At 48.7% G+C, this 24,619-nt stretch overlaps 2 pseudogenes across 2 annotated transcripts in view, besides 5 other annotated features; one reads left to right on the top strand and one right to left on the bottom strand.

The window, feature by feature from the left end:
- Positions 1-24,619, top strand: part of TSSC2 (tumor suppressing subtransferable candidate 2 (pseudogene)) — a 28,188-nt pseudogene that overhangs the window by 2,161 nt on the left and 1,408 nt on the right. The window contains exons 2-10 of the transcript NR_024248.1: positions 341-425; positions 1,046-1,163; positions 18,638-18,746; positions 19,492-19,608; positions 19,794-19,831; positions 20,472-20,531; positions 21,733-21,842; positions 23,378-23,594; positions 24,501-24,576. The product of NR_024248.1 is annotated as a tumor suppressing subtransferable candidate 2 (pseudogene) (transcript). The remainder of the gene's footprint in view (positions 1-340; positions 426-1,045; positions 1,164-18,637; positions 18,747-19,491; positions 19,609-19,793; positions 19,832-20,471; positions 20,532-21,732; positions 21,843-23,377; positions 23,595-24,500; positions 24,577-24,619) is intronic.
- OR7E12P (olfactory receptor family 7 subfamily E member 12 pseudogene) lies at positions 7,586-8,794 on the bottom strand (annotated as a pseudogene). The gene has a single exon (NR_044999.1). The product of NR_044999.1 is annotated as an olfactory receptor family 7 subfamily E member 12 pseudogene (transcript).
- Positions 17,918-18,212: a silencer, noted in NCBI's record as "tiled region #4578; HepG2 Repressive non-DNase unmatched - State 13:Ctcf". NCBI's record gives its function as "represses a minimal TATA promoter and a strong SV40 promoter by Sharpr-MPRA in HepG2 cells {active_cell/tissue: HepG2}" and the evidence as "EXISTENCE:reporter gene assay evidence [ECO:0000049][PMID:27701403]".
- Positions 20,884-21,718: an enhancer, noted in NCBI's record as "H3K27ac-H3K4me1 hESC enhancer chr11:3425235-3426069 (GRCh37/hg19 assembly coordinates)". NCBI's record gives its function as "activates a minimal SCP1, AML or CMV promoter by ChIP-STARR-seq in naive and primed H9 embryonic stem cells {active_cell/tissue: H9 hESC(naive and primed)}" and the evidence as "EXISTENCE:reporter gene assay evidence [ECO:0000049][PMID:30033119]".
- Positions 21,719-22,552: an enhancer, noted in NCBI's record as "H3K27ac-H3K4me1 hESC enhancer chr11:3426070-3426903 (GRCh37/hg19 assembly coordinates)". NCBI's record gives its function as "activates a minimal SCP1, AML or CMV promoter by ChIP-STARR-seq in primed H9 embryonic stem cells {active_cell/tissue: H9 hESC(primed)}" and the evidence as "EXISTENCE:reporter gene assay evidence [ECO:0000049][PMID:30033119]".
- Positions 22,910-23,423: an enhancer, noted in NCBI's record as "H3K4me1 hESC enhancer chr11:3427261-3427774 (GRCh37/hg19 assembly coordinates)". NCBI's record gives its function as "activates a minimal SCP1, AML or CMV promoter by ChIP-STARR-seq in primed H9 embryonic stem cells {active_cell/tissue: H9 hESC(primed)}" and the evidence as "EXISTENCE:reporter gene assay evidence [ECO:0000049][PMID:30033119]".
- Positions 23,424-23,935: an enhancer, noted in NCBI's record as "H3K4me1 hESC enhancer chr11:3427775-3428286 (GRCh37/hg19 assembly coordinates)". NCBI's record gives its function as "activates a minimal SCP1, AML or CMV promoter by ChIP-STARR-seq in primed H9 embryonic stem cells {active_cell/tissue: H9 hESC(primed)}" and the evidence as "EXISTENCE:reporter gene assay evidence [ECO:0000049][PMID:30033119]".

The raw sequence follows: 24,619 nt of genomic DNA on the forward strand, positions 1-24,619 counted from the left end.
CAGCTAATGTTTAACAAGACCCTACTGTATGCCAAATCATTCACCCCTTGCAACAACTTAATAAGCTAGGGATTCGTATTAGATATATTTTACAGAAAAGGAAACAGAGACATAAAGAGGTGAATGAACTTGCCCAGATGGCACAGCTAATAAGTGGTGGAGGCAGAACAGAATCTACACAGTGTGGCTCTGGAGCCCACATTCATTGATTCCGCAAGTGTTTATTGAGCACCTGCCATGTACAAGGTCTGTGCGATTAAATAGGGCTATAATTAATAATATAAGCATTATAAACCACTAGCACTTTTTAGAGTTAACATTTTCTTTTTTTTTTTTGCAGGTTTGAGGCACAGAGCTGTATATACAATAACAGTGAAATTGATCCCACTACTAATTATGACAAAAATGATCTTCCACGTAAACAGGTTAGATGTTTTCTAGGTATTATCTCATGAAATCTTGACAGAAACTGAATGAGGAGGGGGCCGGGTGCAGTGGCTCACGCCTGTAATCCCAGCACTTTGGGAGGCCGAGGCGGGGGGATCATGAGGTCAGGAGATCGAGACCATCCTGGCCAACATGGTGAAACCCCGTCTCTACTAAAAATACAAAAAAATATTAGCCAGGCGTGGTGGTGGGTGCCTGTAGTCCCAGCTACTTGGGAGGCTGAGGCAGGAGAATGGCGTCAACCCGGGAGGTGGAGCTTGCAGTGAGCCGAGATTGCGCTACTGCACTCCAGCCTGGGTGACAGAGCGAGACTCCACCTCCAAAAAAAAAAAAAGAAAATGAGGAGGGAAAGTTGATTGTTCTGATTTCACACAGAAGGAAATTGAGGTTAGGAGGGGTAAAGTAATTTTGCATGGCATGAAGTAGAAATTCGAAGTGTAGGGATTTGAACTTGGTCCTGCCCTTTTCTGAAGCCCCCATGCTCTTGACCACTGTGGACTCAAACCTCACCTTGTTTCTCCACTCATTCAACAAATAGATTTGTTTAAATTATCAAATAGGTTGCCACTCATCATGAGCCTCTGTTCCCATTCTACAGGTGGTGAAGCTCCTTATGGTCCTGACCCTACAGTTCCTGTCCCATGACCAGGGCCAGATCACCAAGGAGCTGCAGCAGTTCGTCGTCAGTGGCAGCCCCATGCGAGCACCCGAGGAAGGTGAGTGAGCACAGACAGATGGGTCCTGGTGCCCTGGAGCAGTTCCCGGGTCTCGGCTGCCCCAGGTCTCATAGTGTGGCCATGCTGGGGGAAGCTTAGGTAGTCACAGTACTGGCCTTTTTGGGTGAGTACACTGGTGACATGTTACTGTATTCTTGGGCTAGTACACTGGTGACATGATGCTATATTCTTGGGTGAGTACACTGGTGACATGTTGCTGTATCCTTGGGTGAGTACGCTGGTGACATGTTGCTGTATTCTTGGGTGAGTACACTGGTGACGTGTTGCTGTATTCTTGGGCGTGTACACTGGTGACGTGTTGCTCTATGCTTGGGTGAGTACGCTGGTGACATGTTGCTGTATTCTTGGGTGAGTACGCTGGTGACACGTTGCTGTATGCTTGGGCGCGTACACTGGTGACATGTTGCTGTATGCTTGGATGAGTACGCTGGTGACACGTTGCTGTATTCTTGGGCGTGTACACTGGTGACATGTTGCTGTATTCTTGTGTGAATACGCTGGTGACATATTGCTGTATTCTTGGGCGTGTACACTGGTGACATATTGCTATGTTCTTAGGCAAGTACATTGTTGACATGTTGCTGCATTCTTAGGCAAGTACGTGGGTGATATATTCCTGTATTCTTGGACAAGTACACTGGTGACATGTAGCTGTATTCAGAGGTGAGTACACTGGTGATGTATTGCTGTATTCTAGGGTGAGTACACTGTTGAAATGTTGCTGTATTCTTAGGTGAGTACACTGGTGACATATTGCTATATTCTTGTTCTTCGTGTCTAGCAACTCATACATGTTTACCAGAATATTCCTAAAGGTTCATTTTCACCATCAATTCTACCCAAAACTCGGTTAGCCCTTTTAACAGGCAGATTCAGCTTTTCCTTTGTTTCAGGAAATTTTCTTTTTTTGTGCTTAATCACGGCCTCTCCTCCATCTACCTCTTTTCCTCCCCCTGAAACTCCTATGTTATTTGCACCTGATGTCCTGGGTCTGTTTTCAAATCTTTTCTCTCATGTTTTCAATTTCTTTGTATTCCTGTCAATTCAAGATTTTTCTTCTACTTAATCTTTGAGGCCATTAATTTGAATCTTAATGATCACCTTCAATTCATTTGCAACCGTTTTTCAGTAGGCTTTATTTTTTGGAACAATTTCTGCTTCACAGCAAAATTAAGCAGAAAGTGCAAAGAGCTCCCATAACCACCTGACCCCACACATGCACAGCCTCTCCTACTATCAGCATGCCACACCTACTATCAACATGCCACACCAGAGCAGTACATTGCTTACAATCAATGGGCCCGTGTGGACACATCATAATCACCCCAAGTCCATTGTCCACATTGGAGTTAACATTCCGTGTTGTACATTTTTTTGGATTTTGATAAGTATAATGGGAAGAGGACAGACACTGATCTTCACTGTGTTCTGTGGCTCTTTGTGGTCCAAGTTTTTCTTCAGACCCATCACATTCCAATCTTCTCCCAGACCATGGTCTCCAATGCTGTTACCCAAGTTCTATCCCACCCAGAGTTTCAAGTGAAGCCTAAAACCTTATCCACAACCTTACGACCTCTCTGCCCACTGTGCTGCAGAGCAGAGGCTGAAATGGGTTGGAGTGAAAGTCAGCAGGAGAGGTACTATTTACTCAAGCTACCATCTTCCAAGAACATCCTTCAAATTTTAATTCTGAAAGGACATGCAAAATTTATAAATGTTAGTCAACAGAATTCAACAGGGAATCAAAATACATATACACTATAACCAAGCTGGATTCATTGCAGGCATACAAGGATGGTTTAATATAAGGAAAGCTAGTTCAATAGACAGAAGCAGAGACAACTACGTGGCCATTCTAGGGAGGCCCTGAGATGAATGAGTAACCCAAACACAGATGCTGCTGACTGAGCTGTTAAATTCACCATTTAATCAGGTAAAAGTCTGCCTTTATGAGAAGCAAGGTGCATCTCTGCAGAGATTAGCATATAATTTGTCAATCTGGAGGATACCTCACTGGGACTGGGATCAGAAGTAGGGACTGATGGAGAAACAGAAGGAAAGGCGGGAAATTCTCATGCAAAAGGGAGGAGTCCCAGACAAGGGCAGCTGGGCCAGGGGCCTGAGGAAGAAGGCAGCCAATGGGAACCAATGCCCAAGAGCATGGCCAGGAGAATTCGGGAGCAGGTACATCTAGTAAGCAGACTTCAGTTTTCTTTTCAGCAATGTGCTCCTCTTATGCTCTTCTCAGGGTTTAACGTGCATCCCTTAAACAAAGTAGCCTTTTATTAGCAATGATTTGGTGATTACAGAGTGTCTTAGTCCATTATTGCTGTTATAACAGAATATCTGAACTGGGTAATTGATAACAGAAAGTTACTCTCTCATAGCCCTGGAAGCTGGGAAGTCAAAGATCAAGGTGCTGGTGTCTGGTGTGGGCCTTCTTACTGTGTCCTTACATGTTGGGAGGCAGAAGGGCAAGAGAGCATGAAATGGTGTCCTCACATGGAAGAAAAGCAGAAGAAGGTGAATGCTGGGCTGGCTTTTACTGCCCGCATCATGGGGGGCGCCTCGCCCCCCTCCGATGGGGGTCCTAAGAGCCAGGGGGGCAAGAGGGGCTGGCTCTTACTGCCCGCATGGCGGGGGGCGCCTCGCCCCCCTGTGATGGGGGGTCCTAAGAGCCAGGGGGGCAAGAAGGGCTGGCTCTTACTCCCCGCATCGCGGGGGGGGGGCCTCGCCCCCCTGCGATGGGGGTCCTAGAAGCCAGGGGGCAAGAGTGGCTGGTTCTTACTCCCTGCATCGCGGGGGGCGCCTCGCCCCCCTGCGATGGGGGGTCCTAAGAGCCAGGGGGGGCCGGGCGCGGTGGCTCACGCCTGTAATCCCAGCACTTTGGGAGGCCGAGGCGGGTGGATCATGAGGTCCGGAGATCAAGACCACCCTGGCTAACACGGTGGAACCCCGTCTCTACTAAAAATACAAAAAATTAGCCCGACGTAGTGGTGGGCGCCTGTAGTCCCAGCTACTCCGGAGGCTGAGGCAGGAGAATGGCGTGAACCCGGGAGGCGGAGCTTGCAGTGAGCCGAGATCGCGCCAATGCACTCCGGCCTGGGCAACAGAGCCAGACTCCGTCTCAAAAAAAAAAAAAAGAGCCAGGGGGGCAAGAGGGGCTGGCTCTTACTCCCCGCATCGCGGGGGGCGCGGCGCTCCCCTGCGATTTGTATCGTAATATCCGGGGGGGAGAGGCGGGTGATATTACTTCCCGCATCGCGGCGGGCGCCCTCTCCCCACTGCGATGTGGCTCTTAATATCCAGCGGGGGAGAGAGGGTGATATTACTCCCTTTCTCCTAGTATTTTTTCTCTACTGCCACACTTGGTTAACACCCTGGGACATTATTTTCCATATTCTAGGAAGGTGTCACTGTTTAAGTTCCAGGGGGTATACACCCTGTGATATTATTCGTGATATTGTAGCGAAATGTGAATCCTGATGTCACAAGTCTCTACACACTCTGATATTATTCGCAATACCCTAGCGGGACGTTAATAATAATGTCACAATGTGTGTACAGCTTGTGCTATTATTATTAATCTCCTAAGGGGAGGTTGATTTTATTGTCACACGGAGTATTTTCCCTTTGGTATGATTCGGAATATCCTGGAGGGATGTCACTCCTTATGTCACAGGGTTCGTACACCTTGTCAAATTACTCGTATTACCCTTATAAGTTATCACTCCTCATATCACCGAGGGTGTACACTCTGTGATACTATCGTCATATTCTAGGGAAATGTTGCTTTTTATGTCACAGATGTTGCACACCTTGTGAAATTTTTCGTTATAGTTTTGTGGGATGTGACTCCTAACGTCACACGGGGTGTACACACAGTGATATTACGTGTAATATTCTATAGAAATGTTACTCGTAAATCACAGGTCCTGTACACACTTTAATATTCTTCGTCGTATTCTAGGAAAACGTGACTACTAACGTCACAGGGCGTGTAGACCCTGTCATAAAATTCGTAATATCCCAGCAGGAGTTCACTACTAATTTCACAATGCGTGTACAGCCTTTGATATTGTTCGTATTATCCTTAAGAGATGTGACTACTGATCTCCCAATGCATGTACATTCTCTGATATTATTCGTTATATCCTCGGGGGATATGACTTCTAATGTCATATGGCGTGTACTCCCTGTGTTCTATTTCATAGTATCCTAGGGCAATTGTATTGTTAATGACACAGGGGGTGTACACATTGTGATATTATTCATGATATTCTAGAAGGATGTTACTCCTAATGTCACGGGGGTGTACACCCTGTGATAGTATTCATAATTTCCCAGGGGTCTATATTCCTAATGTCACAGAAGATAACACCCTGTGACATTATTTGTAATATTCTGATGAGATGATTCTCCTAATATCACAGGGGGTGTACACCCTGTGATAGTATTCTTACTATTCTAGGGCGATGGCACTCTTAATGTCACAGGTATGTTCCTTCTGTGATATTATTGAAAATATGCTAGCTGGATACTACTACTAATGTCACAATGCGTGTACACCTTGTGATATTATTAGTAATATTCTGGGGGGATGTTACCCCTAACGTTACAGGGGTGTACACCGTGTGATATTGCTCCCAATATTGTAGGGGGATGTTACTCCTAATGTCACAGTGGGTGTACAGCCTTCGATATTATTTGTAATCTTATGGAGAGATATTACTTTAATGATCACAGTGGGTGTACATACATGGGCTACAACCACTGGGATATTATTTGTAATATCTTAGGGAGATATAACTCCTAATATCACAGTGGGTGTACCCCATGTGTGTACATCCTGTGATATTATTTGTAATATCCATTGTAAACATTACTTCTAGTATCCCACAGAGGGTACACCCTGTGATATTTTTCATAATATCATAGGGAGATATTGCTTCTAATAATACAGTGGGTGTACACCATGTGTGTACACTCTGTGATGTGATAGCTTATATCCTAGGGAGATATTCCTTCTAATATCACAGTGAGTGTGCACCCTGTGATATCATTCGTAATCTAGAAAGATGTTGCTGGTAATATCACAGATGGTGTGCCCCCAGTGACATCATTCGAAATATCCTAGGGAGATGTTACTCGTAATGTCACAGGGGTTGTACACCCTGTTATATTATTGTAATATTCTAGGGGGGTGTTACTTTTAAAGTCAAAGGGGTGTACACTCTGTGATGTTATTCGTAATATCATAGGAAGGGGTTATTCCTAATATCACATGGGTTATCCTAGGAAGAGGTTACTCCTAATATCACACTCCTCATATCACAGCCTGTGATAGCATTCGGAATATCCAAAAGGGATGGTACTTTTAATGTCACATGGGGTGCACACCCTTTGATAATATTCGTAAGATCCTAGGGACATATGACTTCAAATATCACATTGGGTGTACACACATGGTGTACACATTGTGTGTGAACACCTCCAGTGATATTATCCATAATATCCTAGGAAAATGGGACTCCTAATATCACGGTCAGTGGACACCCTGTGATATTATTGGTAATATCCTAAAGAGATGTTACCACTGAGGTCACAATGTATGTACGCCCCCTGATATTATTCGTTATATCCTCGGGGGATGTTACTCCTAATGTCACACGGGGTGTACTCCCTGTGATATTATTCGTAATATCCTAGGGGGATGTTACTTTCAGTGTCACCGGGGGTGTATATCATGCGTATTCAACGCCTGTGATACTATTCCTAATATCCTAGGGGCATGTTCCTCCTAATGTCACATGGGGTGAACACCATATGTGTACGCCTGCTGTGATATTATTCATAATATCCTAGGGGAATATTACTCCTGATGGCACAGGAGATGTACACCATGTGTGTCAACCGCCTGTGTCATTATTCGTAATATCCTAGGGAGATGTTTCCTTGAATGGCACAAAGTGTGCGCAAAAGGTCACAGAAGGTGTGCACCTTGTGATGTTATCTGCAATACCCTAGAAGGATGTTACTCCTAATATGTCACAGGGGTGTACACACTTTGATATTATTTGTAATCTCATAGAGAGGTATGACTTCAAATATCACAGTGGATGTTCACACGTAGTGTATACCCTGTGATATTATTCATAATATCCTGGGGAGATGCAACTCCTGATATCACAGTGCATGTACCCGGTGTGTGTACACCCTTGATATCAGTCGTGATATCCAGGGTAAATATGACTCCTCATATCACACAGTGTGCACACCCTGTGATATTTTTCATAATATTTAAGGGAGATAGCGCTTCTAATATCACCGTGGGTGTACCCCATGTGTGTGTACTCTGTGACAGTATTTTTTATATCCTAGGGAGGTATTACTCGTAATGTCACAGTGGGTGTTCACCCTGTGATGTCATTCTTATTTGACCTTGGCGCCTTTTTTAAACCACCCTACAAAAGGAATGGAACAGATAAGAAGATGTTGAGATTAGACTGTGCTGCCATGCGGCCGCCGCAGGACACTTTTCATATCCCTGTTTCTCAGGCTGTAGATGAAGGGGTTCAGCATGGGGGTGACCACCATGTACATCACTGAGGCCACTGCACCCTTTCTCGGGGAAGATGACACATCTGAACCGAGGTACCCTCCAATGCCTGTTCCATAAAATCAGCAAACAACTGACAGGTGAGACCCACAGGTGGAGAAGGTTTATACTTCCCACCTGATGATGAAACCCTCAGAATGGAGGAAACAATTTTACAGTAAGAGAAAAGGGTCCCCAAGATGGGAAGAAAACCAAATATGGCAGCAGGGAAATACTGATGTTCCTGGTGAAGGTGTCACAACATGCAAGATGGGAGAGTTGAGAAGGTTCCCAGAAGAAATTAGGAATTTCCACATCCTTGAAGCAGGTCATTTGTAAGGCAATCAAGTTGTGCAGCTGGGAGTCTGAAAGACTGAGAAAAAAAAAAAAAAAGACAACAAATCTAGGAAGCCACAGAAACACGGGTTAAAGATGGCTGAACAATATAGAGGGTGACAGATGGCTACAAACCGGTCATAGGCCATCACACTCAGGAGCATGTCTCTCTTCCATACCTCCAAAAATGGCAAAGAGAGACATCTGAGTCAGGCAGCCTGCATAGGAGATGACTCTGCTGTGAGACTGGATGTCCACAATCATCTTGGGGACCGTGGTGGAGGTGAAACCGATGTCAGGCAAGGACAGGTTGGAGAGGAACAAGTACATGGGGGTGTGGAGGTGGGAGTCAGGGCTGACGGCCAGGATGATGAGTAGGTTCCCCAGCACCGTGACCAGGCACATGGACAGGAACAGCCCAGCGACGACCTGCTGCAGTTCTGGATCCTCTGAGAGTTTGAGGAGGAGGAATATAGAGACATCTGTTAGACTCTGTGGGTCTGTATCATTTGGATACAACCCTCTTTTGCCTGGAAAAGAGGGTTGAAAAATCCGAAACAAGTAAACCAATACCCAGCATTGTGTCTGCATTTTGGATAGAAGCAATTCACCAGTAATGTTTGCAGGTTTCAGAGCAATCCACACTCAGCAATATTTTGTAGTTCTGACAAGCTCAATTGCCTTATAGTGCTTTCAACATCGATTGCTGTGTTATTCTCCTCTTGCTGTACACACCTGCCTTAGAGACACTAGCTTCGAGAACGTTCCAAGAACCAGATCATCATATATAACAAATTCGTAATTGCTAGAAAATACAGCCTATCTTTTCCGAAGAAAAAGATATAATAAAACCACTGTCTTCACTTTAAGAAAAAGGTTATCCTAATTAAAGGAAATTAAGAACTCAAATATTTTATTTATTCTACTAGATTGATACAAATTCCCTTGATTTAGAACATTTGTAAACACTGTGTAACAGCTGAGACCATGCCATCTGGAAATGAAATGAAAGTTGATAGTTCATAAGCAGAAAATAGTTCCACATGCCAGTTAGGTCCTAGTGATTTCATCATTCTGTTTTCGGACTTTTCTCCTTCGAGAGAGTAATTGCTTACTCAAATCGGTGGGTCTTGTTTTAAAATTCATGGAAGCTCTAACTCCTGTCCTTAGCTTAGGTGGACTTAGAGTTTTCATCAGAAAGTTTGGCCGGATATGGTGGCTCACGCCTGTAATCCCAGCACTTTGGGAGGCCGAGGAGGGCGGATCACGGGGTCAGGAGATCAAGACCATCCTGGCCAACATGGTGAAAACCCGCCTATACAAAAAATACAAAAACTTCGCCCGGTATGGCGGCGCGTGCCTGTAGTCCCAGCTACTCGGGAGGCTGGGGCAGGAGAATGGCTTGAACCTGGGAGGCAGAGACTACAGTGAGCCGAAATCACACCACTGCACGCCAGCCTGGGCAACGAGAGCAAAACTCCGTCTCAAAACACAAAAAACAAAAAGAATCAAGTAAGTCAAAGTCATGCTGATGACAGCCAATTTTGGTGAAGCAAGGAAGTGTCAATTCAATCATTAATATAGATTTTGACTTTTGCTGTCTCCTATGTGCCAAGCAAGATATAGGCTCTGGGGAATCAGAAGCAAAAGAGACTCCCCTGTTCCTCTCACAGTACTCAGTACTTACTGAGAGAAGGACAAAACAAAATGTCCTGTCTGGAATGCAGGGAAAGCAGAACTTCAGGTCAGGGGATATTTCCGTTGAATTGTGTGGAGTTGAAGCTGAAAATCTTAAGGAATGTATCTAAAATTCACTTTGCCTTTACTTTATGCATCCGTCACCTAGAGATCACACAGCGGGCGCCTACGATCGGCTTAATCATCATTCACTTCCATCGGATCAACTGGAAATCAAGTCAGGTGAGAGTGCTGAGTCTCAGAGGATGGACGTCTCACCCCTTGCCATACAGAGAAGTAGAAAGGGTGGTATTCAAAATTCATGGCCAGACTCGAAGTCCCGGGTACTATACTTCCTGGTCTTCCAACTCTCAAAAAGTTGTGGGTTTTTTTTTGTTTTTGTTTTTGTTTTTGTTGTTTTGAGATGGAGTCTCATTCCATTGCCCAGGCTGGAGTGCAATGGAGTGATCTCTGCTCACTGCAACCTCTGCATCCCAGGTTCAAGCTATTCTCCTGCCTCAGCCTGCCAAGTAGCTGAGATGACAGGCGCCCGCCACTACGCCTGGCTCATTTTTTTCTATTTTGAGTAGAGACGTGGTTTCACCATGTTGGCCAGGCTGGTCTCGAATTCCTGACCTTGTGATTCGCCTGCCTCAGCCTCCCAAAGGGCTGGGATTACAGGCATGAGCCACGGCTCCCAGCTTCCAAAAGTTTTAAGCAGAGCTCAGAGGTCTTAACCACAGGCACATCGGAGGAGCATTTTTGAAACGCTTTCCAGCTTCCTCAATAGGAATGGAAGCCAAACTGAATTGATGACTCCTTTGAGGAAGTCGAGAGCTGTAAGGAAAGCCAGGAACAGGGGCAAGGGAGAGATGCGCCCCGAATGATCCTGTGCCAATTCTTTCTGGAATCCTCGATGTGATCTCAGCTGCCCTTTCTATACTTGACACAGTGATTGTGGCACCCACTGGTCTAGCTCTGGTCTACAAGGAACGCGCAAAGGGAAGGGCACAGTGAGCAGGGGCATCCGCCTGAGTGATGAGGATTTGAGAGGGCAGGTTGGTTGTAGGGAGAGGACTGGCCAAATGCCATGTGTCTGGACTTAGACTGGATGGTTCAAATTGGACTTCACCCTTTTTGACTTCATGATCTAGTAAGAGTTATATGGAAAAGCGTTGCTCCTTTTCTAGTCTGTAAAATCATCCTGAAATGTGCACTAATAACGTGGAGACCATGCAGATGAAATGAAACAAGCTGCATAGAGCACAGAGCTCAGAGCCTGGCCTTTAGGAAGCCCTCAGTAAGGGTTCATGATGCCATGGTGTCTGTCGTCATCCTCTTTATCCTCATCATCACCTTCATAATCTTTTTGTTGTTCTTAGGGAATACTTTAGAGGGACTGATTCCCTGCTATCATGGGTGAGATGTCTATGAAAAGGACAACCAGTGGGGGAGGAAAGCAAAATTTTGAATAAGATTTCTGAGACCCCCAGCACAACCAAGAACAGAAACTGCACAGTCTGCTGAGCGGACAGTTTGCACATTGGTCTCCTCCCATCTGCCCACCACACTCTCCTGTTTGTCCTGAGGAGGAGGAAACCAAACAAGGCTCCCGTCCGTTTCTCAGCACTCACTTGAAGGGGTGACCTGCACCTCCACACCTGTGGGTATTTCTAGTCGGGTGGGATGAGAGACTGAGGAAAGAAATAAGACACAGAGACAAAGTATAGAGAAACAACAGTGAGCCCAGGGGACCGGCGCTCAGCATACCAAGGATCTGCACCGGCACCGGCCTCTGAGTTCCCTCAGTTTTTATTGATTATTATTTTTATTATTTTAGCAAAGAGGAATGTAGTAGGAGGGCAGGTTGATAATAAGGAGAAGGTCAGCAACGAAGATGTGAGCAATAGAATCTATGTCATAATGAAGTTCAAGGGAAGGTACTATGACTGGACGTGTACATAAGCCAGATTTATGTTTCTCTCCACCCAAACATCTCAGTGGAGTAAAGAATAACAAGGCAGCATTGCTGCAAACATGTCTCACCTCCCACCATAGGCCGGTTTTTCCCCCATCTCAGAATTGAACAAATGTACAATCGGGTTTTATACTGAGACATTCAGTTCCCAGGGGCAGGCAGGAGACAGTGGCCTTCCTCTCCCTCAACTGCAAGCGGCTTTCCTCTTTGACTAATCCACCTCAGCACAGACCCTTTATGGGTGTCGGGCTCGGGGACGGTCAGGTCTTTCTCATCCCACGAGGCCACTTTTCAGACTATCACATGGGGAGAAACCTTGGACAATAAACGGCTTTCAAGGGCAGGGCTCCCTGCAGCTTTCCACAGTGTATCGTGCCCCTGGTTTATTGAGACTAGAGAATGGCGATGACTTTTACCAAGTATACTGCTTGGAAACATCTTGTTAACAAGGCATGTCCTGCACAGTCCTAGATCCCTTAAACCTTGATTTCCTACAACACATGTTTTTGTGAGCTTCAGGTTGGGTCAAAGTGGCTGGGGCAAAGCTACACATTAACAACATCTCAGCAAAGCAATTGTTGAAAGTACAGGTCTTTTTCAAAATGGAGTCTCTTATGTCTTTCCTTTCTACATAGACACAGTAACAGTCTGATCGCTCTTTCTTTTGCCTACACTCACTGAACTGCCCTTCCCCTTTGCTGGGCCATGACCACGGGGAACAGGTCCACTGTCCTCCCTGCGTGGTGCACGATGGATGCTCAGACTCCATCCTCAAGGCTGGCAAGAAGACACGTTGAGACATGTGCCTCCTGATACAGGTGATGGCTGTGGAGCCCACAGGACTGGAACCTCACACTGCAGGGCTGGAGGCACAGGCCATTTACTGTTCTGTGCCCTGGGGGGCTCAAGGCACAGAGCTCCTCATTAGCCAAAGTCACCCAAGTTCCCCAACCTCTTAAAGATTTCCTCATCATCATGCAAGAAGAAGAGAAAAGTGAGTGTCCATAGAAGCTTTGGGGCTCTTCCTCTAATCAGGAGAAAGCTGGTGTGTATTCTTCGCTTCTTTCTTTGCTTTTTAAAGATCCAACTGCTTTAATTTTCATCTTTTATTATGGGAAAATATACCACGTATAAATATTAAAAATTATAAATATATATTAGTGCATATAGAATGGCCAGTATAAACATTTACAGTTTCCACTCTTTTTCAGTTTACAGTTTAATGACATTAAGTATGTTCACATTGTTTAGCAACCATCACCGCCATCATCTCCGGAACAGTTTTATTTTTCAAAATGGAAATTGCAACCATTCGCCAAGCTCTCCACTCCTCTCTCTCGCCTACCCCTGGGGGCCACCTTTCTAGTTTGCAACTCTAGGAGTCTAACTACTCTAGACACTTGATAGATAAGTGGAATCATACCGTGTTTAATTTTTTTTTTTAGAGGTAGAATCTTTCTCTGTCACCCAGGCTGGAGTGCAGTGGCGTGATCTCGGCTCACTGCAACTTCCACTTCGGGGGCTCAAGCAATTCTTATGTCTCAGTCTCCCGAGTAGCTGGGATTACAGGCGTGCGCTATCATGCCCAGCTAATTTTTGTATTTTTAATAGAGACGAGCTTTCACCATATTGGCCAGGCTGGTCTCGAACTCCTGAGCTTAAGGGATCCACCTGTCTCAGCCTCCCAAAATGCTGGGGTTACAGGTGTGAGCCACTGAGCCTGGGCATGTTTATCCTTTTGGGATTTATTTATTTCACTGACGATAATGTCTTCAAGGTTCATCCATGTTGCGGCCTGCATCAGAAGTGCCTGTTTGTTTTTGTTGTTTTTTTTTGTTTGGTTTTATTTTGTTTTGTTTTGCGTTTTCATGGAGTCTTACTCTGTCGCACCGGCTGGAGTGCAGTGGCACAATCTGGGCTCACTACAACCTCCGCCTCCCGGGTTCGAGCGATTCTTGTGCCTCAGCTTCCTGAGTAGCTGAGATTAGAGGTGCATGCCACCACACCAGCTAATTTTTGTATTTTTAGTAGAGATGGGGTTTGCCATGTTGGCCAAGCTGGTCTTGAACTCGTGAGCTCAGGTGATCCACACGCCTCAACTTCCCAAAGTGTTAGGATTACAGACGTTAGCCACTGTGCCCAGCCCAAGGATGTGTATATTTTCTATAGAGTTTTGATGATAATACTTTGACAGCAAATATATTGTGACTATATATATATAGTCACAGGTGCCCAGGCCGGAGTGCAGTGGCGTGATCTCGGCTCGCTACAACCACCACCTCCTAGCAGCCTGCCTTGGCCTTCCAAAGTGCTGAGATTGCAGCCTCTGCCCAGCCGCCACCCCGTCTGGGAAGTGAGGAGCGTCTCTGCCTGGCCGCCCATCGTCTGGGATGTGAGGAGCCCCTCCGCCCAGCAGCCGCCCCGTCTGAGAAGTGAGGAGCCCCTCAGCCCGGCAGCCACCCCATCTGAGAAGTGAGGAGCCCCTCCACCTGGCAGCCACCCCGTCTGGGAGGTGAGGAGCGTCTCCACCCGGCAGCCACCCCGTCCGGGAGGGAGGTGGGGGGTCAGCCCCCGCCAGCCAGCCACCCCGTCCGGGAGGTGGGGGGCGCCTCTGCCCGGCCGCCCCTTCTGGGAAGTGAGGAGCCCTTCTGCCCGGCCACCACGCCGTCTGGGAGGTGTACCCAACAGCTCATTGAGAATGGGCCATGATGACAATGGCGGTTTTGTGGAATAGAAAAGGGGGAAAGGTGGGGAAAAGATTGAGAAATCGGATGGTTGCTGTGTCTGTGTAGAAAGAAGTAGACATGAGAGACTTTTCATTTTGTTCTGTACTAAGAAAAATTCTTCTGCCTTGGGACGCTGTTGATCTATGACCTTACCCCCAACCCTGTGCTCTCTGAAACATGTGCTGTGTCCACTCAGGGTTAAATGGATTAAGGGCGGTGCAAGATGTGCTTTTTTAAACAGATGCTTGAAGGCAGCATGCTCCTTAAGAGTCATCACCACTCCCTAATCTCAAGTACCCAGGGACACAAACACTGCGGAAGGCCGCAGAGTCCTCTGCCTAGGAAAACCAGAGACCTTTGTTCACTTGTTTATCTGCTGACCCTCCCTCCACTATTGTCCTATGACCCTGCCAAATCCCCCTCTGTGAGAAACACCCAAGAATGATCAATAAAAAAAAAAAAAAAAAAAAAAGACAGCGGTGTGCAGCTGGAATGATGCACCTGAAGCCAAGGAATGCCGCACATTGCCAGCCACCACCCAAAACTGGAAAAGGCCAGGAAGGATTCTTCCCTAGAACCTTCAAAGGCAGCACAGCCCTGCCAACACCTGCATTCAGACTCTGGCCTCCAGAACTGTGAGAGGATGAATTTCTGTGGTTTTCAGCCACCCCAGCTTAGGAAATGGGTTGCAGCAGACTGGGAATAAGAGAGGCAGCCAGTCAGCCTCCGTGGAATTCCCAGGCAGCTTGCAGGAGCCACAGTGGGCCCTGGGCTCTGAGAAGGTCTGAGGCCCAGCAGGCGCAGGGGCCTAAACTATTTCTCAGCAAGGAGGAAGGAAGGTTCATCCAGAACGTAGATCCCCTTCCTCCTTCTCACACCTCACAAGGTCACAGCGAGGTGGTTGGGAGGACAGCCAGGGACTTTTCACTGAGGTGTGTGGGAGACAGCTTGGCCACCCTTGGCCTCTGAAGGGAGGAGGTGGCATGAAGGAGGGCAGTTTTGGAACTTCCCAGTTCCTGCTTGATGACCTGTGTGTAAAGTATTCCTGTTTAGGTTTCAAAATCCTCTCAGAAACATAATTCTCAGAAATTCCAGGCACCCAATCCAGCTCCCTGGCCTTCCCTGAAATCTGAAGTCAAAAGGGCTGAGCCAGCCTGCCCTGGGTGTCAGGCCTCTGAGCTCAAGCTAAGCCATCATATCCCCTGTGACCTGCACGTACACATCCAGATGGCCGGTTCCTGCCTTAACTGATGACATTCCACCACAAAAGAAGTGAAAATGGCCTGTTCCTGCCTTAACTGATGACATTGTCTTGTGAAATTCCTTCTCCTGGCTCATCCTGGCTCAAAACCTCCCCCACTGAGTACCTTGTGACCCCCATTCTGCCCGCCAGAGAACAACCCCCCTTTAACTGTAATTTTCCTTTACCTACCCAAATCCTATAAAATGGCCCTACCCCTATCTCCCTTCTCTGACTCTCTTTTCACTCAGCCTGCCTGCACCCATGTGAAATAAACAGCTTTATTGCTCACACAAAGCCTGTTTGGTGGTATCTTCACACGGACGCGCATGAAACTGGAGTCCTCACGCCCACCAGCCCAGAGTGCTCTCTAGAGGAAGGCTACAGACACCTCCTGGCTCACTCATCCAGACGTTAGCTGTCTTGCTGAAACTCCTTTTTTCACCCTTGAAAACCACTGGAAGAATGACCAAGAACCCAGCTATCCTGAGTAAGTTCACTTAAAGAAGCAAAATCTAACATGAGTGGCAAAACGGACATTGGCACCAGGAGTGTGGGTCAGAGTCCTGCCCCTTGGAACTACATCATCACTTGTACAGTGTACCCCCCAGGCACCAAGAGACCAGGCTGAGACTCTTCAGTTGCCCTGGGCCTCTGGTCAGTGTCTTCCAGCCTGGCACACAGGCAGGCCCTCATAAAACAATGAGTGCTGAAAGTTCCAGCCTTCTTGGTGGGTTCTCAGCACCCCGTCGTGAGCCACACCCTGCCCCAGGGAAATCAGGGTCGCCCTGCTGCTACCCCTAGGCCAGTGCCCCTTCTGAAGTGCCCCAGGCTGGCACCCCTATACTTAGATCTCTTCAACCTCCTCATGAAAACCTTCTTGCCCATCACCCCAGCATTCCCCGGACTGTGCTAAATGAGCAGCTGACCACACGTCAAATCAATTTTCAGAGTTTGCCTTTGGTTTAATATTCATGGCTTATCCAAAAGATCTTGTCACCATAGCTAGATGAAAAAAATGACAAGGCTCTGGAGAAGCAGAACCACAAGATGGAGGATACCTGGGTCCCAGGTTCATGAGGAGAGGAGCTGCCTGCTCCACAGACTGGCACGTGAGTGGGAATGAAACTTTTGCTGCGTTTAGACCATTACCTTTCTTCACTCTGTCACATAGTCTACCCACGCTAAACAGAACTTGACCTCCACCAGACCGTTTACATCAAGACCTGTATGTGCAGTGCAGTGGCCTGAGCCTCCAATCCATGCCCCACCTATCAAACTGGCCTTGCCATATTCCTACTCTGAGAGTGGTATTCTGGGGACAGAAGCTCAGTGCATAGAATTGATGAATGCGAGATCCTTCAGGCGCTTTGCACTTTGAAGTCTATCCATCCTAGCACATTCCAAGTACAAAGAAGACACTTCAGCAGTACAACCTGGCCTACACTCAGTTCAATTCCTTCTTCAAAAACCTAGGCCCGGCCAGGTGTGGTGGCTCACATGTGTAATCCCAACAATTTGGGAGGCTGAGGTGGGTGGATCACCTGAGGTCAGGAGTTCGAGACCAGCCTGGCCAACATGATGAAATCCCGTCTCTTCTAAAAATACAAAAATTAGCTGGGCTTTGTGGTGGGTGCCTCAAATCCCTGCTACTCCGGACGCTGAGGCAGGAGAATCACTTGAACCCGGGAGGCGAGGTTGCAGTGAGCTGAGACTGCACCAAGGCCCTCCAGCCTGGGCGACAGAGTGAGACACTGTCTCAAAAAATAAAGAAAGAAATAAAAATAAATTGAGGAAGGATTGAGCATGCAAAATAGAATCAGCCTTTGACCCTGAATACCCTGCAGTGAGAATTCCCCTGTGGTTCTCAGGCTTCTGTAATTCCAGCAAATACACTCTTCCTTCAGGTTCACTAAAATGCAGATATTGTGAGATAATGCTCATTTCTCACAGCTTGCTTGAATAATAATAATGATCATTATAGTAATTTACAACTTAATAGTCAACACTGCCTTTTTAACCCAGTCTGTGAGACTGAATCGTAAACGTGACATTCTTTGAAGCTCTCAATTAATATACCAGACTGCATAAACTCTAATAACTTACCTTTCCATGGAAAGAGAATATGTGGGTATTCTCTTTGAAGACAAATGGTGGAGAGTAGACTCTCATCAAAGACCCTCTGGCAGTAATGAGTTGCATTCGGGAAGGTTCCAGAAGGTTCTGTGGAAGGCTGCAGTTTGGGATTGGTTCTCAGGTGTCTGTCTAACTGCTTTCTAAGGATGAAGACTCCTGGTTCGTGCTTTAGCTACACCCACAGGAGCAACAGACTAAGACATTCCTCCACACCATAACAGACCCAGGCAGTGCAGAGCCATGTGGGTCTTATCTGTCTTGCTGTCCACAGTCTGGTTTTATCTTAGACCCAGCCTGGTGCAATTCATGTTGTGTATTGGCACTCCACTTAAGTTTCCTGTTTGTAAAAAGCCCCTTTCATTTGGTGATTCCTAGGGCTTTAGGGGAACTTTCTGGAAACGTGGAAGAAGGAAATAAAGGTTGTTTTGCTGAGGATGGGTTACATTGGGCGTGGGACCCAAATGAGTGGTTTGAGCAAAAAGTAGCCTCCACGCTGGACTAATGCTTGGCAACATTATGGGAAAATTTGGGGAAGCTGGGAGAGGAGGGGGCAGAGTTTCTTTCCCAGCCAGCCAGGGGGTCCAGGCAATTTTGGTCCTAGAACATCTCTCTGTGCATTCCCAAGTAATTGCAAGGCTTCTTCTTGTCATCGTCTGAGACTTGGATTCCCCAAGCATCCTTCTTTTCCTGGAGCCTCTGAGTCCTCTATTCCTGAGGCCTTTCTTCAGCCCTCCCAATAGCCCTGCCATGATTTCATTGCAGGGCTGTGACCGTCTATGACAAGCCAGCATCTTTCTTTCAAGAGACCTCTGGACCTGCAGCACCAACTCTTCATGAAGCTGGGCGGCACGCACTCTCCGTTCAGGGCCTGGTAGGCCTCCCATCCTCAGCTGCCTTCTCTCCTGCTTGCCAATGCCCTGTCCTCTCCCCTTCTCACTGCAGACCTGGGAACCCACTCATCCAGGGGTTGGCAAACTAAGGCTACAGGCCAGTCTCCTGCTTTTGTAAATCAAGTTCCATTGGAACACAACACACTCATTAACTTCTGAGTTGTCTACAGCTGCCTTTGAGCTACAACAGCAGAATCGTGTTTTGCAACAGAGAACCTGTGGCCCGCAAAGCCTGAAGTATTTACTCTCTGGCCCTTTAAGAAATGTTTGTGGACCCCTGCGCTGTCTTACTCTCCTGCCAGTGGGTTCCCAGGCCTGTGGCAGGATCTGTGGACCTGTGTGTCCCCTGGGGTGTCTCACGGGGCTAAGGAGGGGACCTTAGTGCAGGTCCACACACCCTGAGGTGTGCCCCTGGGTAAGCTGGAGTGGTGTGGGAGGGTGTCCCTGCACCCTCATCTTGAGTCCAGGGGATGATAAGACAGTAAGTCGCGTGGAGAAAAGGAATGAGTCAGTCTTGTTTGCTGTTGTAACCTTAGCACCCAGCAACAATATTAGAGAAAGCAAGCCCAGGCCTCAGATGGCAGGGGTGGCCTGGTGCTGCTGATGTGGCTGGGCACCCCAACCTTTGGGAGCCTGCAGGCCTTGCCATGGCAGGAGATGCCCGTCCTGGGTCCCGGGCCTGCTCTGTGGCCTCTCACAGGCTTTTTTCCTGCTCTTTCATCTCAGAACCTGAGGACCCAGACACGGAGCGGTCGGCCTTCATGGAGCGGGATGCTGGGAGCGGGCTGGTGATGCGCCTCCGCGAGCGGCCAGCCCTGCTGGTCAGCAGCACAGGCTGGACAGGTCTGCACGACCCCTAGAACACTTGGGCTTGGTGTGACGGGCACCTGGCCAACCTGTGTTCTCCTCACCCCTGCCAGTCCTGCATGCCCCCACCCCGCCACAGTCTCAATGAGAAGGGGAGGGCGTGTGAGCTGGAAGAGGGGTGTCTAGAAACAGGCCCCTGACATTCAATTCTCTTCTCATAGAGGACGAAGACTTCTCCATCTGCTGGCAGCTTTAGAAAGTAGGTGTGTAGCTGCGGTGAGGATCTATGGGCTTGTCGGGGGCCGCTGAGCTGTGAGCTGCTTGCCTGGCCTGCAGCGTGTTGCTGTCCCGGGCCACTGGGTGGGGCAGCCTGGGGACAGCGGGGGTGGTGGAGGTGGGCCGCCCTGAATCCCCAGTTGGGTCATTCAGTGACCAGGCCCTCAGGCTGAAATGCCCCCTCCAGGAGAGTATCTCACAGAGGCTGGTGGCCTCCCCACCAGAGCAGTGCTCTTTCTCCACCTGAACAGGTGACTCTGGCTATTGTTTATTTAAAACTTTTTTTCTGAATGGGCACGGTGGCTCACACCTGTAATCCTAGAACTCTGGGAGGCCAAGGCAGGCAGATCACCTGAGGTCAGGAGTTCGAGGCCAACATGGCAAAACCTGTCTCTACTAAAAATACAAAAATTAGCTGGGTATGGTGGTGGGCGCCTGTAATCCCAGCTACTTGGGAGGCTGATGCACGAGAATTACTTGAACCCGGGAGGCAGAGGTTGCAGTGATCTGAGATCACGCCATTGCATTCCAGCCTGGGTGACAGAGCAAGAGTCTGTCAGGAAAAAAAAAAAAGAAATTCTATCAGAAATTCCATGTAGAATTGTTTCTTTTTTTAAACACAGAGTTTGAACAACTGACTCTTGATGGACACAACCTTCCTTCTCTCGTCTGTGTGATAACAGGTACCGCCTAGGACCCTGGGTGTCTGATTGGTTGGGGGATGGCGGAGGGGGAGGGGCACGCAGCCTTTACCCTGTGCTTCCCACGATCTTGTCTCCTTAATCTTCACTGCAGCTCTCTGCCATAGGGTCTTATACTGCTTGACATGGGGGAAACTGAGGCTCAGAGGATTTCACAGCAGGGCAGGGAGCCCAGATTTGAATCTGTAGATACCAAACTTTCTACTTTTTCAGTAGTTTCCAAGCATCTTTTTTTTGTTGTTGTTACATCATTGGTGTCTTTTTTCTTTTTTTTTTTTGAGACAGAGTCTCTGTCGCCCAGGCTGGGGTGCACTGGTGTGATCTGGGCTCACTGCAACCTCCGCCTCTCACATTCAAGCAATTCTCATGCCTTAGCCTCCCGAGTAGCTGGGACTACAGGGGCCCACCACACCCAGCTAATTTTTGTATTTTTAGTACAAACAGGGTTTCATCATGTTGGCCAGGCTGGTCTTGAACTCCTGACCTCAGGTGATCCACCCACCTTGGCCTCCCAATATGCTCGAATTATAGGCACGAACCACTGTGCCTGGCCATGTCATTGGTGCCTTAACCAAGCCTCTTTTAATTTTTCAAACGGAAGAACCCCTGTCCCACAGTTACTGCTGCTGAGCCCTTTCAAGGTGACTCTGAGGACGGAGAAAAGCGGAAGTGGTGTGGGAAGAGGCGGGGTCTGGGCCAGCTGCTGGTCCTGCTCTCCTCCCTCCTCTGGCCACTAGGCTCCCAGGAGTGGTTTGGAGCCCACGCCATGTGCTCTGGGGGCTGTGGCAGGGCAGGGGCGGTTTGGAACCTGCGCCATGTGCTCTGGGGGCTGTGGCAGGGCAGGGGGAGTCCTCGTGTCCCCTGTGCACAACACAGACAGAAGGCTGGGTCCACCCAGTGGGCGGTCGACTGCCAGGCCAGTGCTTACCCCGCCATGTTTGCAGCCCGAGGCCAGCTGGCTGCAAATGCAGGGCTGTGCGTCAGGGGTCAGAGTGCACACACCCCTGCAGGTCTAGGGGCTCCTGCGTTGCTTCTGGAAGGGCCTGGATGGGACCTGACTGGAGCGGCCGAGGGGTGGAGCTTCTGGGAAAGGGATCCCTCCTCGGGGGGAGTGTCTTGGGCCTGAGGCCAATTGGCAGGGACAGAGACGAGTCCATGGCAGTATCTGCTCTTCTCTGTGAAGGCAAAGGGCCTCCGAGGGAGTATTACAGCCGCCTCATCCACCAGAAGCATTTCCAGCACATCCAGGTCTGCACCCCTTGGCTGGAGGCCGAGGACTACCCCCGCTTCTAGGTGAGAGGCCAGCAGGAGGCTCAGGGAGGAGGCGGGGCCTTAAGCAGGGGGAACAGGGGTGGGCGGGATGTACTTTTTCTGAAAATGTGGCTCTGGAGGCCACTTGGGGACAGGACCTGGGCTCTGGCTGAACTCCCGGGAGGAGGCTACTTCCTGGTGTGCCAGCCCCTCCCTGCCAGGTGGCCCCAGAGGCCCTTTACCAAGGGGTTTGAGGAGGCCACGTCCTTTCAGCCTTCCGCGCCCTCCATTCAGTCCTCTTCCTTCCTGCAGGAGGGCTGGGCCTGGGGTTGGGGCCACTGTTGCCCAGGTGTGGGAGGGCAGTGGCTTTGGGAGGTACAGGGACGATGTGTGAAACAGCGTCGCCTCTCCCAGTGAGATGGTTCTCCTTTGCCTCCGTCTCTTTCCCCGTTGACTTCTCCAAGTGGGGAGTCGTGGCTTGGTCCTGATGCGTCTCTAGAGCCACATCTTCCAGCTTCGAGTGAGCAGAGCAGTTGGAGGCTGAGGGCCTTTTCCTGGCAGGACTCTCCAGTTAGTCTTTGTTTTAGACAGTCTCGCTCCGTTGCCTAGGCTGGAGTGCACGATCTCAGTTCATGCAACCTCCGCCTCCTGGGTTCAAGCGATTCTCCCACCTCAGCCTCCCGAGTAGATTACGGGATTACAGGAGCCCGCCACAACACCTGGTTTATTTTTGTATTTTTAGTAGAAACAGGGTTTCACCGTGTTGGCCAGGCTGGTCTTGAACTCCTGACTTCAAGTGATCCTCCTGCCTTGGCCTCCCTAAGTGCTGGGATTCCAGGCGTGACCCATCACGCCTGGCCCCAGCTAGTCTTTAGAAATGTTAAGCTGTTTCACTTTATTTTCACACTGACAGCTGGTTTGTAGTGGGTGTGCTGTGGTTTTTTATTATTATTATTATTATTATTATTATTATTTTGAGACAGAGTTTCGCTCTTGTAGCCCAGGCTGGGGTGCAATGGCACGATCTTGGCTCACTGCAACCTCCGCCTTCCCAGGTTCAAGCAATTCTCCTGCCTCAGCCTCCTGAGTAGCTGGGATTACAGGCACCTGCCACGATGCTTCGCTAATTTTGTATTTTTTTTAGTAGAGATGGGGTTTCACCATGTTGGCCAGGCTGGTCTTGAACTCCTGACCTCAGGTGTTCCACCCACCTTGGCCTCACAAAATGCTGGGCTTACATGCGGGAGGTGAACCTGGGAGGTGGAGGTTGCAGTGAGCTGAGATTGTGCCACTGCACTCCAGCCTGGGTGACGGAGTGAGACTCTGTCTCAAAACAAAACAAAACAACAACAAAAAAACCAAATTGTGGTTACGTAGAAAAAGTGTCAACTTACATTTTCAGATGTCCCAGCCAGGCCATGTGGCTGCTTGGCCAGCTTAAGCCACTTGTGCTTGGGGCTGTCGGGGGACTTATCCGATTTTCACTCCCCTCGGGGGATGTTGCCTCACTGTGCTGGGAGGATTTGTGTTCCCAGGGCAGAGACCAGCGCTCTGACCGCACCCCTCTTGCCCAGCAGGGTCGGTGGATCTGGGTGTCTGTCTGCACACGTCCTGCAGTGGCCTGGACCTGCCCATGAAGGTGGTGGACATGTTCGGGTGCTGTTTGCCTGTGTGTGCCGTGAACTTCAAGTGGCAGGAGCAGAACCCGAATCTTTCTGGGGATAGCTTCACAGATCCACCGCTGAGGAGGAAACAGTGCAGAGCGAGCTGCCCACAGTGAGGCCCTGCTCCTGGGTCAGTCCAGCACACACTGGAGGCCACGAGGAGGAGCCCTGCGGTTACTGTGTCTGGGCTGAGCCTCACTGAAGTAGTTGCTTCCATTTAGAGCTCATGTTATATTTAGGTTGATACAAAAGTAATCACGGTTTTTGCCATTAAAGATGGCAATTACTTTTGCACCAACCTAATATGAAAAAAAAGCATCTTAAATACTGGAACTCCACTCGGGGCTTTTGCTCCTAGAGTAGAATTGGCGGGAATTGCCTGCAGGCTTACATGGTTTTCTTTGTTTCTTTCTCTCCCACCATGTCCTGTTTGGCCAAGCTCACGTGCTGGGTTTGAATGAGTTAAATGAGTGTCGTGCTGTGGCCTCACTGCACCCAGCGTAGACGGGCATTTGGAAGGGCGGTGTTAGAGGAGATTCTAGAAGCAGTAGCCCCAGCACAAGCTGAGCCCTTGGCCCCTGCTCAGGAGCCGGCTCCTGGATGGGAGTCAGGGATGTGAGCCCCTCGTGTGAGCTGAGCTCAGGGAATGTCGGGATCAAACCTGGTGCCCTAGAAAAGTCATCTTTTATGTGCTGAGCCAGTCCCCAGGGTGTTGCCTTTACTTGTTCCATGGCCATGGAATTAAGCAAAACATGCAAAAATAATTCTTCAGTCCTTGAAGAGCATCCAGCACAGAAGGTAGAAACCCTCCTTAAGGCTCCCTCCTCAAATCGGTTTGGCCATTTCGATGTGCACCCCCCCAGGCCTTTATACCCTTCAGATGCCAAATCTAAGAACCAGCTCCCAGAAACCACACCCCCTGTTCCAACCCCCAGCCTGGCTTGAGCATGGGTTGTTGGGGGGAGCCCAGGTGGGCACCCCAGGGGTCTGGTGTCTTCTCCAGGCAGCTCTCAGGCTCCCTTGGTTCTCTCTGCAGTTTACATGAGCTGGTGAAACATGAAGAAAATGGCCTGGTCTTTGAGGACTCAGAGGAACTGGCAGCTCAGCTGCAGGTAGCCACATCTGCCACCACGCCAGGGTGGGGAGGGTTCTGGA

This window comes from Homo sapiens, chromosome 11 (genome assembly GCF_000001405.40).
Source record: "Homo sapiens chromosome 11, GRCh38.p14 Primary Assembly".
In the NCBI taxonomy this organism is placed as follows: Eukaryota; Metazoa; Chordata; class Mammalia; order Primates; family Hominidae; genus Homo; species Homo sapiens.